Here is an 18,961-nt window from a genome sequence, read left to right on the forward strand (position 1 = left end):
TTTGGTTGGTTGTTCTACAAACATTCAGTGCAAAGCACTATGCTAGACCCTGATTAATACACTGCCCTTAAAGGGTTCACAGGTATTACCAAAGATAGACAAGCCATTACAACGTGATAGGATAAGTTGATGATAGTGGGCAGTACAAACCACTTGAATGGCACAAAGAAAGCTAAGTAAAGACCTTCTCTAGGTCAGCAGAGGTTTCACAAACACAGCTTCCATGTGCCACAGTGTGGTCATGGGTGTGGGTGGCTGAACTGACACGGAGATGGTAAACAGAGGAGTCGAACTGAGAAGTATAGGGCCAGGGGTGATAGCCTTCCCCAAAGTTTGTTTCTGAAAGTTATGAGGTATGGCACTCAGAAGGGTCTGAAAAATGTGACTGTGGCTAAGAAGGTAAATTCTAGCTGGGATTTGACAGTGTCTCAAAAGAGCCATGCCATGATCCCATCCCCATGATAAGGACTGTGAACTTATTGGGAAAGGGGATGAAGAGGGGTCAACCTGTCTTGGATCTGCTATAATCCCATCCATCAGCTATTCTTGACACATATTCTATGGGTGGCTATATCCATTGGCCAAGATCCTTTGGCTTCAAGCACTGGAAGCTGGCTCTGGCTAACCTCACCAGACAAGGAATTTATGGCAGGATGTGGGGTGGCTCTTGGAATTCAAAGAAGGGCCAAAGGACCAGCCATCAGAAGGATAAGACCTGGGTCAGCGTTGGGGGTCCATGGCGCAGGAACTCCAAGGCATACAGTTTGGGATGATGACTCATTCTTGTTTCTTGTGTCACTCATCTCAAGATAAAATTTCCCAGGGAAAGAACTCTAAGCCTCATGACCACCCTCTGGTCAGAGCACCTTGATCATATAGTCCATCAAGATGGCAACAAAGTGGGCATGGAATCCTCAAAAGCAATTGAAGTCCTAGGACAGAAGAGAATGGGTTCTGGCCAGCCCACAGCAACAGAGACACACACCGGACGATCTCCATATGTTACACATTTTGGGATCCCAAAGCCTCAGGTATACTTGCTACTTAGTGGGTGTTCAAGATACGCTGAAGCTGCCCAACTTCCACCTCTGCCCGCTGGACTTAAGGCAGAATTGTTTCTTCCCTCTCCTTAATCCCCATGACACTTTGTCCTTACTTGTATCAAAGCAATTAAAATAGCTTGTTAGAGTTTTTCTTCTTTTGTTTTTAGGTATTATACAGAAAACAAGTGCTGAAATTAAAGATTTTGGTTTAAACAAATAAACTTGTTACCTCTCTGCCTCTGTCCTTCAGAAGATGCAGTGGAGGAGATGTCCAATCTAGTGTCAAAGGATAGCCCCATTCCCAGAGCCTTTGCTCTTTTAATTATCACTTCTCTCCTTTATCTTTCCCCTCTCTGTCTCTGTAGTTCATTACATTTAACCATGCTCACAGGGTAGTGAGAATTAATTAATACATGTAAAATACTTAGAACCATGCCTTGCATGCAGTAGTCACTCAATAAGTGTTAGCTGTTATCATGAGTGAGACCAGTAGTCATCGGTTCCCCACCCCTTTACTGCGATCAGTTCTCCCAGAGAGAGATCACACTCATAATAAAGGAAATTGCCCCATCAAAAAGTGGGCAAAGGACATGAACAGACACTTCTCAAAAGAAGACATTTATGCAGCCAAAAAACACATGAAAAAATGCTCACCATCACTGGCCATCAGAGAAATGCAAATCAAAACCACAATGAGATACCATCTCACACCAGTTAGAATGGCAATCATTAAAAAGTCAGGAAACAACAGGTGCTGGAGAGGATGTGGAGAAATAGGAACACTTTTACACTGTTGGTGGGACTGTAAACTAGTTCAACCATTGTGGAAGTCAGTGTGGCGATTCCTCAGGGATCTAGAACTAGAAATACCATTTGACCCAGCCATCCCATTACTGGGTATATACCCAAAGGACTATTAAGTCATGCTGCTATAAAGACACATGCACACGTATGTTTATTGCGGCACTATTCACGATAGCAAAGACTTGGAACCAATCCAAATGTCCAACAACTGTAGATTGGATTAAGAAAATGTGGCACATATACACCATGGAACACTATGCAGTCATAAAAAATGATGAGTTCATGTCCTTTGTAGGGACATGGATGAAATTGGAAATCATCATTCTCAGTAAACTATTGCAAGAACAAAAAACCATACACCACATATTCTCACTCATAGGTGGGAATTGAACAATGAGAACACATGGACACAGGAAGGGGAAAATCACACTCTGGGGACTGTTGTGGGGTGGGGGGACGGGGGAGGGATAGCATTAGGAGATATATCTAATGCTAAATGACGAGTTAATGGGTGCAGCACACCAGCATGGCACATGTATACATATGTAACTAACCTGCACATTGTGCACATGTACCCTAAAACTTAAAGTATAATAATAATAAAATTTTTAAAAAAAAGGAAATTGCAAGATAGGGGGAAATAAGAGCTATCAGAGCACATAGCAGAGGTCTTAGCCTGGCCTAATAATTGGGAGATTTCTAGATGAAATGGAAAAATTTCTAGTGAAGGGGCAAAATATTTTCAACAAAATTGGAAATGAGGCACATAGTACTTAGTAAGGATTACATGTTGTCATTATCATTACCCATCTCATACATGCTACAGTTCTTCAGGGCCCTTTATGCCCTCTTCCAAATTTACACACTCCGGGGTGATTTTTTTTCCCCACGCAGAACTCATGTTAAAATTCCTGGGTGACTTTATCCACTCTTCTGAGTTGAACCATTTAAATAGTGATGACCTTTAATTTAATGTATTTCTTTAAATTTTATTATTATTATTTTTTTTTGAGATGGAGTCTTGCTCTGTCGCCCAGGCTGGAGTGCAATGGCGCGATCTCACCTCACTGTAACTTCCACCTCCTGGATTCAAGTGATTCTCCTGCCTCAGCCTCCCGAATAGCTGGGATTATAGGCACTTGCCACCATGCCCAGCTAATTTTTGTATTTTTAGTAGAGACAGAGTTTCACCATGTTGGCCAGGCTGGTCTCGAACTCCTGACCTCAGGTGATCCACCTGCCTCGTCCTCCCAAAGTGCTGGGATTACAGGCATGAGCCACTACACCCAGCCAACCTTTAATTTTATACCTCTAGTTTTACTGGGCCCCAAACCCACTTGGATTTTTTCCTTCTTTCCTTTCTTTTTCAACAAGTGCCTGCTGTATACCAGACACTGAAGAAAAAAGCAGAAGGCATCATAGGGGCTTGGACTCTGGATGATCTCTTTAAGAGACGAGACGTTTAAACCAGCCATATGCTGTAGACATCTCAAGCTCAACATGTCTAAAATACTCCACCCCACCTCTAGCCAGCTCTCCTCTGTTGTTTCCAGGTTTGGTAATGGTTCCATCATCAACCCAAATGCCCAAGGTTGAAACCTGGGAGGGTTCCTTGCCAGCAGCTCTCTCACCTCCCATACCTGTCCTACCAAAGCTATCTCCTAAATATTTCACATTGATACACTCCTTACCCACTTCTGCCACTGCTACCTCCTAACTGGTTCTTTGTCTCCTGTCTTGCTTCCCTCCATATTTCACCCTATGCACTATGACCAGAGTAATCTTTCTAAAGCAAAAATTAATGTTTCACCACTCTCCAGCTTAAACCTTTCATTGGCTTCCTCTTGCTCTTTCATGAGGTCCAAGTGATCTGGTCCCAGTTACTGGTCCCAGGCCTTTGCTTTTGCTGCTTCTCATGCTCATCTCTACCTAGTATAGTTTCCCGTCAGTGGAATAATTTCTGCTCTTCAGATATTAGTTTAAACATTACTTCATCTAGAAATCTTGACCATGGGGCCAGGGTAGGACCTCTGCTATGTGCTCTGATAGCTCTTAATTCCCCATATTTTTCAATTTCCTTTATTCAATAAGTACTTGCATTTGGAAGGGGGCGTGAGTCGAAAGCCTATCTATTGGGTACTCCACTGACTATCTGAGTGCCATATACCCATGTAACAAACATGCACATGTACCCCCTCTATCTAAAATAAAAGTTGAGGCTGTTCTGCCTATGGGATAGCCCTGCTCTGTCTATGGAGCAGCCATTAAAGTAAAAAATAAAAGTTGAGAAAAAAACATACTTGCCAACTACCTACTGTTACTCATGTGTGGGCACTGCTCTAGGCACAATGATCAGTCCCTGTTCTTCTTATTAATTTATTATTATTATTATTATTATTTGAGACAGAGTCTCGCTTTTTTATACAGGCTGGAGTGCAATGGCGCCATCTCGGCTCACTGCAACCTCCGCCTCCCAGGTTCAAGTGATTCTTCTGCCTCAGCCTCCTGAGTAGCTGGGATTACAGGCATGTGCCACCATGCCCAGCTAATTTTCGTATTTTTAGTAGAGACAGGGTTTCACCATTTTGGCCAGGCTGGACTCGAACTCCTGACCTCAAGTGATCCACCTGCCTCAGCCTTCCAAAGTGCTGGGATTACAGGCATGAGCTACCACACTCAGCCATATTTATTATTTTTTAATTGAAACGGGGTCCTGCCATGCTCCCCAGGCTGTTCTCGAACTCCTGGGCTCCTCAGGCAATCTGCCTGCTTTGGCATCCCAAAGTGCTGGGATTATAAACGTGAGCCACTATGCCTGGGCAGTGCCTATTCTCATAAGCTTACACTCCAGTGCTGTAAATGAAATAAACTAGGTAAGGAGGAGAGTAACAGAAAAGGAGGGCATACTGTATACATTAATCTAATATTCAAGGGGGAAATAAAGGCCCAGACATGCAAAGAAAAAGGAGAAGATGGTTTACTGAAGTGTTTAACAGATGCCCAAGCCAAGAAAGAGAAAAAGAATGGTTTGCTTAACAAGGAGACCAGTGGACCTAGAGCTACAGGGAAAGAGAGAAAAGATGTGGTTGAAGAGGTAGGATGCAGCTGGGTCATATAGAGCCTTTGACATCATGATAAAGAATTTAGATTTGGAAGTGCAATGGGAAGGCAATAAAAAGTTTTAAGTAGGGAATTAATAATCTTTTAACATTTTAGAGAGATTCCTTCTAGCTAGAGTGAATATTGGCTCATTAGGGGGCAAGAGTGGAAGTGGGGAGACCAATCAGACCATTTTAGTAGTGCAGACAAGAGATGGGTAAAGGCAGCAGATAGGCAGAGGACTAGATGAATTAAAGCTACTGTATTTGGGGGCAGAACTGACAGGATATTCTGTTGGATTAATACAGAGACTGTGGGAAAGTAAAAAAAAAATCAAAAAAGATCTGTAAAGTTTTGGCTTGAGGAATTGAATTAGAGGTCATTTAATGAGTGGAAGACAGGAATAAAAGAACTTGGGAATGGATCAAGAGTTTTGTATAGGCTAGGCACAGTGGCTCATGCCTGTAATCCCAGCACTTTGGGAGGCCAAAGTGGTAGACAACTTGAGGTCAGGAGTTCAAGACCAGCCTGTCCAACATGGTGAAACCTTGTCTCTACTAAAAATACAAAAATTAGCTGGGTGTGGTGGTGGGTGCCTGTAATCCCAGCTACTCGGGAGGCTGAGGCAGGAGAATCACTTGAACCCAGGAGGTGGGGGTTGCAGTGAGCCACGCACCACTGCACTCCAGCCTGGGTGACAGAGTGTCTCAAAAAAAAAAAAAAAAAAAGTTTTGTAGAAATCATTATAAGCTATCCAAGATGTATTTATCAGGTGTTCTTCTAGATTGGGGGTTGGCAAACTCATTCTATGAAGGATCAAATAGTAAAGTTTAGGCTTTGCATGCCAAGAAACAAAATTAAGGATATTATATAAGTACTTTAAAAATAAAACAAATTTGCATAAATTGTCATTGACAAATTTGTTTTATAAAGAAACAAAATTTATTTCTTACATTTCTGGAGGCTGGAAGTCCAAGGTCAAGAGGGTGCATCTAGTGAGAGCATTCTTGCTGATGGGGACTCTGCAGAGTCCCAAGGTGATGCAGGGCATCACATGGTGAGAAGGGTGAGTATGCTTTGGCAAAATAAAAAATAATAATAATTGAATGCAATTTTTTTGTAATACAGATTTGCTGATTAATTGGGGTTCAAATTTAGTGTTCCCCATCATCAAAGTCAATTGCAAATGTTCGTCTGTTTTTTTTTTTTTTTTTGGAGACAGAGTTTCCGTCTGTCACCCAGGCTGGAGTGCAGTGGCATGATCTCGGCTCACTGCAACCTCTGCCTCCCAGGTTCAAGAGATTCTCCTGTCTCAGCCTCCTGAGTAGCTGGGACTACAGGCGCATGCCACCACGCCTGGCTAATTTTTGTATTTATATTAGAGATGGGGTTTTGCCATTTTGGCCAGGCTGGTCTTGAACTCCTGACCTCAAGAGATCCACACACCTGGGCCTCCCAAAGTGCTGGGATTTCAGGCATGAGCCACTGCGTCCGGCCCTAAATATTCATCTGTTAATGCTGATCTACAATGAGATTTTACATATTTTGTCTTTGAAAATGTCTTTACAAAGGCAGGTATTGCCAAATACTGATATCAATCCAAGACCATCTGGTTTTGATTGGGTATATTCATTACTTGGAAGGCTTTATATAATTTTATTATATGCTTATATGGTTTGGCTGTGTCCCCATTCAAATCTCAACTTGAATTGTATCTCCCAGAATTCCCCTGTATTGTGGTAGGGATCTAGGGGGTGGTAATTGAATCATGGTGGCCAGTCTTTCCCGTGCTATTCTCATGATAGTGAATAAGTCTCACAAGATCTGATGGGTTTATCAGGGGTTTCTGCTTTTGCTTATTCCTCATTTTCTCTTGCCACCACCATGTAAGAAGTGCCTTTCACCTCCTGCCGTGATTCTGAGGCCTTCCCAGCCATGTGGAACTGTAAGTCCAATTAAACCTTTTTTTCTTCTCAGTCTTGGATATGTTTTTATCAGCAGCATGAAAACAGACTAATATAGTAAATCGGTAACAGTAGAGTGAGATGCTGCTGAAAAGATACCCGAAAATGTGGAAGTGACTTTGGAACTGGATAACAGGCAGAGGTTGGAACAGTTTGGAGGGCTCAGAAGAAGACAGGAAAATGTGGGAAAGTTTGCAACTTCCTAGAGACTTGTTGAATGGCTTTGCCCAAAATGCTGATAGCAATATGGGCAATAAGATCCAGGCTGAGGTGGTCTCAGATGGAGATGAGGAACTTGTTGGGAACTGGAGCAAAGGTTATTCTTGTTATGTTTTAGCAAAGAGACTGGTGGCATTTTGCCCCTGCCCCAGAGATTTGTGGAACTTTAAACTTGAGAGAGATGATTTAGGGTGTCTGGCGGAAGAAATTTCTAAGCAGCAAAGCATGCAAGAGGTGACTTGGGTACTGATAAAGGCATTCAGTTCTATAAGGGAAGCAGAGCATAAAAGTTTGGAAAACCTTCAGCCTGACAATGTGATAGAAAAGAAAAACCCATTTTCTCAAGAGAAATTCAAGCCTGCTGCAGAAATTTGCATAAGTAGCAAGGAGCCTAATGTTAATCCCAAGACTGTGGGGAAACTATCTCCAGGCCATGTCAGACACCTTCACAGCAGCCCCTCCCATCACAGTCCTGGAGGCCCAGAAGGAAAAAGTGGTTCATGGGCTGGGCTCAGGATCCCCATGCTGTGTGCAGCCTAGGGGCCTGGTGTCCTGTGTCCCAGCAACTCCAGCCATGACTGAAAGGGGCCAATGTACAGCTTGGGCTGTGGCTTCAGAGGGTGGAAGCCCCAAGCCTTGGTAGCTTCCATGTGGTGTTGAGCCTGCAGATACACAGAAGTCAAAAACTGAGGTTTGCGAACCTCGACCTAAATTTCAGAAGGTGTGTGGAAATGCCTGGATGTCCAGGCATAAGTTTTCTGCAGGGTCAGGGCCCTCATGGAGAACCTCTGCTAGGGTAATGCGGAAGGGAAATGTGGGGTCAGAGCCCCCACACAAAGTCCCTAGTGGGGCATTGCCTAGTGGAGCTGTGAGAAGAGGGCACTGTCCTCCAAACTCCAGAATGGTAGATTCACTGACAGCCTGCACTGTGTGCCCGGAGAAGCCACAGACACTCAACTCCAGCCTCTGAAAGCAGCAGGAGGGAAGCTGTACCATGCAAAGGCACAGGGCCAGAGCTGCCCAAGACCATGGGAACCCACCTCATGCATCAGCGTGACCTGGATGTGAGACCTGGAGTCAAAGGAGATCATTTTGGAGCTTTAAAATTTCACTGTCCTGCTGGATTTCTGACTTGCATGGGCCCTGTAACCGCTTTGTTTTGGCCAATTTCTTCCATCTGGAATGGCTGTATTTACCTAATAGCTGTACCCCAATTGTATCTAGGAAGTAACTAGCTTGCTTTTGATTTTACAGGCTCATAGGCGGAAGGGACTTGCCTTGTCTCAGATGAGACTTTGGACTGTGGACTTATGGGTTAATGCTAAAATGAGTTAAGACTGGGGGACTGTTGGGAAGGCATAATTGGTTTTGAAATACGAGGACATGAGATTTGGAGGGACCAAGGGTAGAATGGTATGGTTTGGCCGTGTCCCCATTCAAATCTCAATTTGAATTATATTTCCCAGAATTTCCACATGTTGTGGGAGGGACTTAGGAAGAGGTAATCGAATCATGGGGGCTGGTCTTTCCTGTCCTATTCTTGTGATAGTGAATAAGTCTCACAAGATCTGATGGGTTTATCAGGGGTTTCCGCTTTTGCATCTTCCTCATTTTCTCTTGCCACCGCCATGTAAGAAGTGCGTTTCGCTTCCCACCATGATTCTGAGGCCTCCTCAACCATGTGGAAATGTAAGTCCAATTAAACTTTTTTTCTTAGTCTCAGGTATGAAACTTAGTCTTATCAGCAGCATGAAAACAGACTAATACACATACTTTTCTTGATCTTTGCCTTTTAGCATGTCATTACATTGTAGGTTAATCACCTCCAATTGAAGGTTAGGTAGAAGTTCCTCAATTGCACAGTTAAATGAAATATAGAATTTTTCTTTTTTTGAAACAGGGTCTCACTTTGTCATCCAGGCTGGAGTGCAGTGGTTTGATCTCGGCTGACTGCAGCCTCGACCACCTGAGTTCAAGGAATCCTCTTGCCTCAGCCTCCCAAGTAGCTGGGACTGTAGGTATGTGCCACCACCCACAGCTAAGTTTTGTATTTTTTGTAGAGACAGGGTTTCTACAAAAACCCTGGCCAGGCTGGTCTCAAACTCCTGGGCTCAAGTGATCTGCTCGCCTGGGCCTCCCAAAGTCCTAGGATTATAGGCATGAGCCCCCAAGCACTGCCTGAAATATAGAAATTTCCTTGCACTTGCACTGAGGACCAAAAAACCTGCTAGAACTGTAGTTTGAGCTCAGAAAATATAACTGCTGCAAATTTTGTATGGGAATGGAGATTTTGGTTCTTGTTTTAGCTTTTGATGACAGGAAATATGTAAAGTAGCTTAACCTTACCTGTGATTCAAACAACTTTAATAAATTTACTGTAGTAAAAGTTTCACAATAAGCACCTTTTTACCTTGTAATTTTAGATTAAATTCATCAAGGCCAGGGGCAGCAGCTCACTCCTGTAATCCTAGGATTTTGGGAGGCCAAGGCAGGCAGATTGTCTGAGCTCAGGAGTTTGAGACCAGCCTGGGTAACACAGTGAAACCCCTTCTCTACTAAAGTGCAAAAATTTAGCCAGGAGTGGTTGTGCATGCCTGTTGTCCCAGCTACTTGGGAGGCTGAGGCATGAGAATTTCATGAACCTGGGAGGTGGAGGTTGTAGTGAGCTGAGATTGCACCACTGTACTCCAGCGTGGGCAACAGAGAGAGACACCGTCTGCCAAAAAAAAAAAAAAAAGATCCATGCAGCAACATGGATGGATTTGGAGGCTATTATCCTAAGCAAGCTAATGCAGGAACAGAAAACCAAATACCACATGTTCTCACTTGTAAGTGGGAGCTAAACAATGAGAACACATATACCAAGAGGGGAACAACAGACACTGAGGCCTACTTGAATGTGGAGGGTGGGAGGAAGGAGAGGATCAGAAAAAATACCTAGCAGGTACTACGCTTATTGCCTGGGTGAGTAAATAATCTGTACACCAAACCCCTGGTGACACACAGTTTACCTATATAACAAATCTGCCCATGTACCCCTAAACCTAAAATAAAAGTTTTTAAAAAAGATTTATTTTAAGGAATTGGCTCACACAACTGTGGGGGCTGACAAGTCTGAAATTTGTAGGGCAGGTCAGCAGGATGGAAACTCAGGCAGAATTTCAATGTTACAGTTTTGAGGCAGAGTACTTTCTTTTCCAGGAAACCTCAGTCTTTGCTCTTAAGGCTTTTGACTAATTGGATGAGTCCTACCCATATAATCAAGGATAATCTACTTTACTTAGAGTCAGTTGATTATAAGTGTTAATTATATCTACAAGATACCCTTACAGCAATGTCTAGACTAGTGTTTGAACAAAGAACCGGACACCATAGCCTATCCAAGATGACACAGAAAGTTTAACCATTACATGTGTTTGAAGGCATGTTCAGAAAATTTTCTACCTCAGCCCTGAGCTCGAGAAAATCTCAACACCTCTTTGCCACCACTATGTCAATGAACTGCTGTATGGTAGGACAAGTCAGGATATTCAACTTCTATTTGTAACAAAAACTGTTTTAGTTCAGTCAGCTACAACAAATTAACACAGACTGGTAGGTTAAACAACAAACACGTATTTTTCACAGTTCTGGAGACTGGAAAGCCCAAGATGTAGATGGCTATCTTCTCATATTTTCACATGGCAGAGAGCAGAGAGAAGCAAGCTTTCTTGTGTCTCTTCTTATAATGATACTAATCTCATTCGCAAAGCTCCACCCTCATGACCTAATTACTTCCCAAAGGCCACACCACCAAATACCATCATATTGGGATTAGGGGTTAGCATATGAATTTTGGGGGTACACAAACATTCAGTTCAAAGCATTGACAATGTTAAGACCATGAGATGCAAATGAAGTTCACTGTTGACACACTGGTTCAATAACACATGATAAATTCAAATATTCTTCACAGTGTACCTACTGATGGTTAATACAGTGAATAACCACAGGCTTTAAACACCTTACATTTTCATATGCTTTGTGAATATGCCTCACTACACCGTTTCCTTTACCACCATCAGTTGTAGTACATCTTAGTAGGTTCTACTTCAGGCTGTACGGAAGTAGTGTTTTCTCAACCTTTTTGAAAATATTATCCTATGTAATTGTTCCAAACATACTATTGATAGCGGCTTATTCTGCATTCACTCCAAACTTCACATCAACTCCTTGAATAAATAACAGCTAAGCAGTGTCAGTAGCATCTGTCCCCTCATCAAGAGCCAAGGGAAAATCACATTTAATCATTGGCCTTGTTTTTTAGTTGATTATTGATGTTTATCCCAGTGTCCTCAACTCTTCAAGCAGCTGTTCTTGATGAATAAGAGTCTTAAACAAATTTATTTTCTCTGGACACATTTCTTTGGCTTCTGCATCACATGATTTAATTAACTCATTATTGATAAATGGCTTTCCTTGCTTGGCTACAAATGAACTATGTGGAAACTTACTCTCTGATTGTAGCTTTATTTTAATTTTGTGTGTGTGAAGAATTTCTGCTGTGATTAACTTTTTTTTAAAAAACTTTCTAATTTTTCTGACTGTTGCTTTCTTGTGAATTGGGAATATTGCAATGACTACTCAGTCTGTAATGTCAATGTATATATTCTATTTTTTTTTGAGACGGAGTCTCGCTCTGTCGCCTAGGCTGGAGTACAGTGATGCTATCTCAGCTCACTGCAAGCTCTGCCTCCTGGGTTCACGCCATTCTCCTGCTTCAGCCTCTGGTGTAGCTGGGACTATAGGCGCCCGCCACCACGCCCGGCTAATTTTTTTGTATTTTTAGTAGAGACGGGGTTTCACCGTGTTAGCCAGGATGGTCTCGATCTCCTGACCTCATGATCTGCCTAAGTCAGCCTCCCAAAGTGCTGGGATTACAGGTGTGAGCCACCGCGCCCAGCCATGTCAATGTATATATTCTTATTCTTTTAGCACAACTATAGTTTCATCTCTCTTTTTTTTTTTTTGGAGACAGTCTCGCTCTATCCTCCAGGCCTGCATGCTGGAGTGCAGTGGTGTGATCTTGCCTCACTGCAACATCCGCCTCCCGGGTTCAAGTGATTCTCCTGCCTCAGCCTCCCAAGTAGCTGGGATTACAGGCACATGCCACCGCACCTGGCTAATTTTTGTATTTTTAGTAGAGACAAGGTTTCACCATGTTGGCCAGGCTGGTCTCAAACTCCTGACCTCAGGTGATTTGCCCGCCTCGGCCTCCCAAAGTGCTGGGATTACAGGCATGAGCAACCAAGCCTGTCCAAGTCTCATTTCTTAATAAACAAAATATAGGTTGGGTGCAGTGGCTCATGCCTGTAATTCCAGCACTTTGGGAGACCGAGGTAGGAAGATAGCTTGAGCCCAGTAGTTCGAGACCAGGCTGGGCAACATGGCAGAAACCCATCTCTATAAAAAATACAAAAATTAGCCATGCATGCTGATGCACAACTATAGTCCCAGCTACTTGGGAGGCTGAAGTGAAAGGATTACCTGAGCCCAGGAGGTGGAGGCTGCAGTGAGTTGTGATCAGGCCACTGCACTGCAGCCTGGGCAGAGAGAGAATCCGTCTCAAAAAACAAAAACAAACCAATAAAAAAACCACTAAAGAAACCAATAAAAAAACCACTAAAGAACTTACTCATGTAACCAAATACCACCTGTTCCCCAAAAACCTATGGAAATAAATAAATAAATTTATTTCTGTAGAAATTTAAAAAAAAGATCTAATTATCAATTTACAGAAAATGACGCAGAGGGCAGGGAAACACATTAAATCACACCAAAGTGGTACAATCAACAAAATCGAGACTGTAAGAAACTCTAAAGGACAAACAACCATTTCTTCACACACACACAAAAAATTGCAAGGGAAAAAAGAGATGGATTGGAACCTATAGTTTAAAAGAGTTTAAAAGAGGCCTGGCATCGCTTCTTGGCCTTTTGGCTAAGATCAAGTGTAAAAGAGGCCTGGCACAGTGGCTCACTCTTGTAATCCCAACACTTTAGGAGGATAAGCAAGAGGATGACTTGAGCCCAGGAGTTCGAGGCTACAGTGAGTTATGATAGCACCACTGCACTCTGCCTGGGTGACAGAGCAAGACCTTGTCTCTAAGAAAAATGAAAGACACATTAACCAATCATAATATGTGGACCTTACTTGGATCATAGTGTTAAAAAAAAATGGTCTCGATCTCTTTTTAACATGACATTTATGAGACAACTGTAGACTCAACCACTGACTGAACATTTGATGATATTAGGGAGTTCTTATTTTTATTTTTTATTTTTTTGAGATGGAGTTTCGCTCTTGCTGCCCAGGCTGGAGTGCAATGGCACGATCTCGGCTCACTGCAACCTCCGCCTCCTGGGTTCAAGTGATTCTCCTGCCTCAGCTTCCCGAGTAGCTGGGATTATAGGCATGCACCACCATGCCCGGCCAATTTTTATATTTTTAGTAGAGATGGGGTTTCTGCATGTTGGTCAGGCTGGTTTCGAACTCCCGACCTCAGGTGATCCGACCTCAGGTGATCCGCCCGCCTCGCCTGGGCCTCCCAAAGTGTTAGGATTACAGGGTGAGCCACCGCGCCCAGCCAGGGAGTTACTCTTAAAAATTTCAGTTGTTGGCCGGGTGCGGTGGCTCACGCCTGTAATCCCAGCACTTTGGGAGGCTGAGGCGGGCGGATCACAAGGTCAGGAGATCGAGACCATCCTGGCTAACACAGTGAAACCCCGTCTCTACTAAAAATACAAAAATTAGCCGGACGTGGTGGCGGGTGCCTCTAGTCCCAGCTGCTGGGGAGGCTGAGGCAGGAGAATGGCATGAACCTGGGAGGCGGAGCTTGCAGTGAGCCGAGATCCCACCACTGCACTCCAGTCTGGGTGACAGAGCGAGACTCCGTCTCAAAAAAAAAAAAAAAAATTTCAGTTGTGGGCTGGGCGCGGCAGCTCACGCCTGTAATCCCAGCACTTTGGGAGGCTGAGGCGGGAGGATCACGAGGTCAAGAGATGGAGACCATCCTGGCTAACACGGTGAAACCCTGTCTTTACTAAAAGTACAAAAAAAAAAATTAGCCGGGTGTAGTAGCGGGCACCTGTAGTCCCAGCTACTCGGGAGGCCGAGGCAGGAGAATGACGTGAACCCGGGAGGCGGAGCTTGCAGTGAGCTGAGATCCCGCCACTGCACTCCAGCCTGGGTGACAGAAGAAGACTCCGTCTCAAAAAAAAAAGGCCTATACCTGGGCATGGTAAGGCATATCTGTAAATCCCAGCTACTTGGGAGGCTGAAGTGGGATGATCCCTGCAGCCTAGGATTTCAAAGCCAGACTGGGCAACATAGTGAGACTCCATCACTAAAAAAAAAGGCGGGGGGTGGGCTTGTCTTTTGACGGCATTGGCTATTTATAGATAATAAAAAATTCATGGTTATGGGTTGAATAAAATGTTAAATGCATACATATACATGCTCTAGATAAGTGTATAAATTAAAATTTGTGTATATAGTCAATGTAAAGAAAGATTGGGAAATAAATTTGGAAATAGCTATTTATACACTTTAAGAATGTCTGATCAAAAATTTTATATTATAAGCACATAGTTCTGGTCCAAGTTAATAAATAAAACTATTCTTATTTGCTTAACCTTAAAATAATCAGAGGCTCCACATATTGATGTAAAGGATCTCCAGTATATATTGTTGAGTGAAAAAAGTAAAGTGCAGAACAGGATATATAGCATGCTATGTTTTATATGAGAAAGGGTGGAAGTGGCAAAGAAATAAGAAAGGTCTAATATTATATTTGTAAAAACAAGCACTGCTGGAATAAACAAGAAACAATAAAAACGGGAGAGGAGTTGAGGAGGTAAAAACAGAAGCAAGACTCCATGTGCTTTGAGACTGCTCCTTGTATACTTTGAGTCAGGTAATGCCATTACCTAACCCCAAAATAAAAGAGGCCAGGAGTTCGAGACCAGCCTGGACAAGATAGTGAGACTGCAGTCTCTACCAAAAACAACCAACCAACCAAACAACCTCCCACCCCCCACCACCCCCCACACACATCTAGCTGGTTCTGGTGGTGCGCCCCTGTGGCCCCAGCTACTCAGGAGGTGAGAGGATCACTTGAGTCCAGGAGGTGAAAGCTGCAGTGAGCCATGATTGTGCCACTGCACTCCACCCTGGGCAACAGAGCAAGACCCTGTCTCAAAAAAAAAGAGAGAGAGAGACAGAGAGAGAGAGACTTTACGTCATTAATAGGATGCTTTTTTTTTTTTTTTTTTGAGACGGAGTCTTACTCTGTCGCCAGGCTGGAGTGCAGTGGCGCAATCTCGGCTCACTATAACCTCTGCCTCCCATGTTCAAGCAATTCTCCTGCCTCAGCCTCCTGAGTAGCTGGGACTACAGGCATGTGCCACCACACCTAGCTAATACTTGTATTTTTAGTAGAGACAGCGTTTCACCATGTTAGCCAGGATGGTCTCAATCTCTTGACCTCATGATCCACCCGCCTCGGCCTCTCAAAGTGCTGGGATTACAGGCATGAGCCACCTCTCCCAGCCAATAGGATGCATTTTAAGGATAAAAAAGCTGAAACTAAAATTTTAAACTTTAGACCCTTACATATTAAACTCTCCTAAATTTTAAACTCTCTCAGAAGTAATATTGTTTGTAGTATTATCAGTACTGGAATTTTGAAAATATATAATTTTCTCATAAGAGACATAAATAGTTATAATAATGTAAGGAACCAGGTTTTTTGTTTGTTTGTTTTTTGTTTTTGTTTTGTTTTGTTTTTTGAGACGGAGTCTCCTTGTCACCCAGGCTGGAGTGCAGTGGTGCGATCTTGGCTCACTGCAAACTCCGCCTTCTGGGTTCAAGCAATTCTCCTGCCTCAGCTTCCTGAGTAGCTGGAATTACAGGCACCCGCCACCATGCCTGACTAATTTTTATATTTTTAGTAGAGACAGGGTTTCGCCATGTTGGCCAGGCTGGTCTTGAACTCCTGACCTCAGGTGATCCACCTGCCTCAGCCTCCCAAAATGCTGGGATTTCAGGCATGAGCCACTGCAGCCGGCCAGGAACCAGTATTTTTAGTACAAGAGAAATGATACAATTATATAATCAAAGAAACTAAGTGAAAACACAATAATGCTAAAATTGAATTGAAAAATCAATATTAACTCATTGTTTTTAAAAATATATTTTCTGGGCCAGGCATGGTGGCTCACGTCTGTAATCCCAGCATTTTGGGAGGCCGAGGTGGGCAGATCATGAGGTCAGGAAATCAAGACCATCCTGGCTAACATGGTGAAACCCTATCTCTACTAAAAATACAAAAACAAAATTAGCCGGGTGTGGTGGCGGGTGCCTGTAGTCCCAGCTACTCGTGAGGCTGAGGTGGGAGAATGGTGTGAACCCGGGAGGAGGAGCTTGCAGTGAGCCAAGATGACGCCACTGCACTCCAGCCTGGGCCACAGAGCGAGACTCTGTCTCAAAAACACAGCAACAACAACAACAAAATATATATATATATTTTTTCTGGCCAGGAGCTGTGGCTCACGCCTATAATTCCAGCACTTTGGGAGGCTAAGCGAGGCAGATCGCTTGAGCCCAGGAGTTTGAGACCAGCCTGGACAACATGGCGAAACCCTGCCTTTACAAAAAAATACAAAATTAAATTAGCCAGGCATGGTGGTGCATGCCCGTAGTCCTAGCCACCTGGGAGGCTGAGGTAGGAGGCGTGAACCCAGGAAGTTGAGGCTGCAGTGAACCAAGATCACACTACCACACTCCAGCCTAGGAGACAGAGTGAGACCTTGTCTCAAAAAATATATAAAAATTATATATCTCTATTTTTAAAATATACATAATATACACACACACACACACACACACACATATATGTATAATTTTTTTTCTGGTCCTGTCCACTGAAATGGACCAGAAGAAATGAGCATTCCTAATGTCCATGCTGTGCTCTCTAATACCATTCCACATTAAAACAAGATGTGGCTCATTGGGAAACTGTTGATTTCAGGTCTAGTGCAGGCACTTTTCAAGGTGAGCCTGGGACTCCTTTTCATGTTAACACGCATGAAAGCAGGGCTGGGCACGGTGGCTCACGCCTGTAATCCTAGCACTTTGGGAGGCCAAGGCGGGCGGGTCACATGAGATCAGGAGTTTGAGACCAGCCTGGCCAACATGGTGAAACCCCATCTCTACTAAAAATTCAAAAAACCTAGCCAGGTGTGGTGGTGCGCACCTGTAGTCCCCAGCTACTCGGAAGGCTGAGGCAGGAGAATCGCTTGGACCCGGGAGGCGGAGGTTAGTTGAGATTGCATGCTTCACTCCAGCCTGGGTGACAGAGAAAGACTCTGTCTCAAAAAAAAAAAAAAAGAAAAGAAAAGAAAAAAAAAAGAAGAATGAAAGCTTTAGAAGATAATGTCACGTCAAAACGACTCAGGAGCATATGTGAAGGTGTCCCCACTGAACAATGTTGTGACAATTGGACAACTAAAAGTATAATGATAATTTTGGATTGAATATACTGAATCAATGAAAATTCATTAGTTCATAAAGATACAATAAGAAGTCAAGAAGTCGCATTCATTACCATTTGAGACAACTATTAAAACAACTCCTTACTTTGAAAATTGGTAATTAAAAAAAAATTAAAATTTTAGGCCGGGTGCAGTGACTCATGCCTGTAATCGCAGCACTTTGCGAGCCCTAGACAGGCAGATTGCTTGAGCTCAGGAGTTCGAGACCAGACTGGGCAACATGGCTAAACCCCATGTGTACACACACAAAAAAAAATACAAAAATTAAACAGGCATGTTGGTGCATACCTGTGGTCCCAGTTACTCAGGAGGCTGAGGTAGGAGGATTGCTTGAGCCGAGGAGGTTGAGGCTGCAGTGAGCCGAGATCGCCCCATTGCATTCCAGCCTGGGTGACAGAGCCAGAACCTGTCTCAACAAGAAAAAAAAAAAGCATTTATTTTGCTCTTTCAGTAAAAATTTATTTTAGGATAACCAAATAGCCCTAGTTGATGAATAAAGCCTTCACAGAATTCTAGTTAATATCTTTTGTTTTAAATGTTATTAACTTTTTTTTTTTTGAGACAGAGCTCTGTCACCCAGGTTGCAGTGCAGTGGCATGATCTCAGCTCACTGCAACCTCCGCCTCCCAGGCTCAAGTGATTCTTGTGCCTCAACTTCCTGAGTAGCTGGGATTACAGAAGTGCGCCACCACACCTGGCCAATCTGTTTTGTATTTTTAGTAGAGACAGGGTTTTGCCACGTTGGCCAGGCTGGTCTTGAACTCCTGGCCTCAAGTGATCTGCCCGCCTTGGCCTCCCAAACTGCTGGGATTACAGGGGTGAGCCACCACTCCCAGTCTTTTTTACTTTTTTAAACTTAAGTGGATGTGTACACATCTAGTTAATACATGTGAATGAAATAAAAGAAATATAATTTTACAAACTCCAATAAATTCGTGATTCAGGTAAGGATTATCATTTGGCATTGAAAACAATAGATGATTGATTGTTGTAGACATTCATATAGGACCAAAGTAACACCACACAGATTACTTCTAGTCCCAAAAGGAAAACATTAACTATAAATGGAGTGATCAGAATGTCACCACCCTAATCTAGGTAGGGGTCAACTTTAGCATAACTAATGGTCGATCATATTTGCCTTCTAATGGAATATAACCTAAAATACACATCAATATGGTGACTGTATGACTTCATCCTTTCTAATATCTCGAATCCTAGTTCAGACATCCCTCAGAA

This window comes from Homo sapiens, chromosome 6 (genome assembly GCF_000001405.40).
Source record: "Homo sapiens chromosome 6, GRCh38.p14 Primary Assembly".
NCBI lineage: Eukaryota > Metazoa > Chordata > Mammalia > Primates > Hominidae > Homo > Homo sapiens.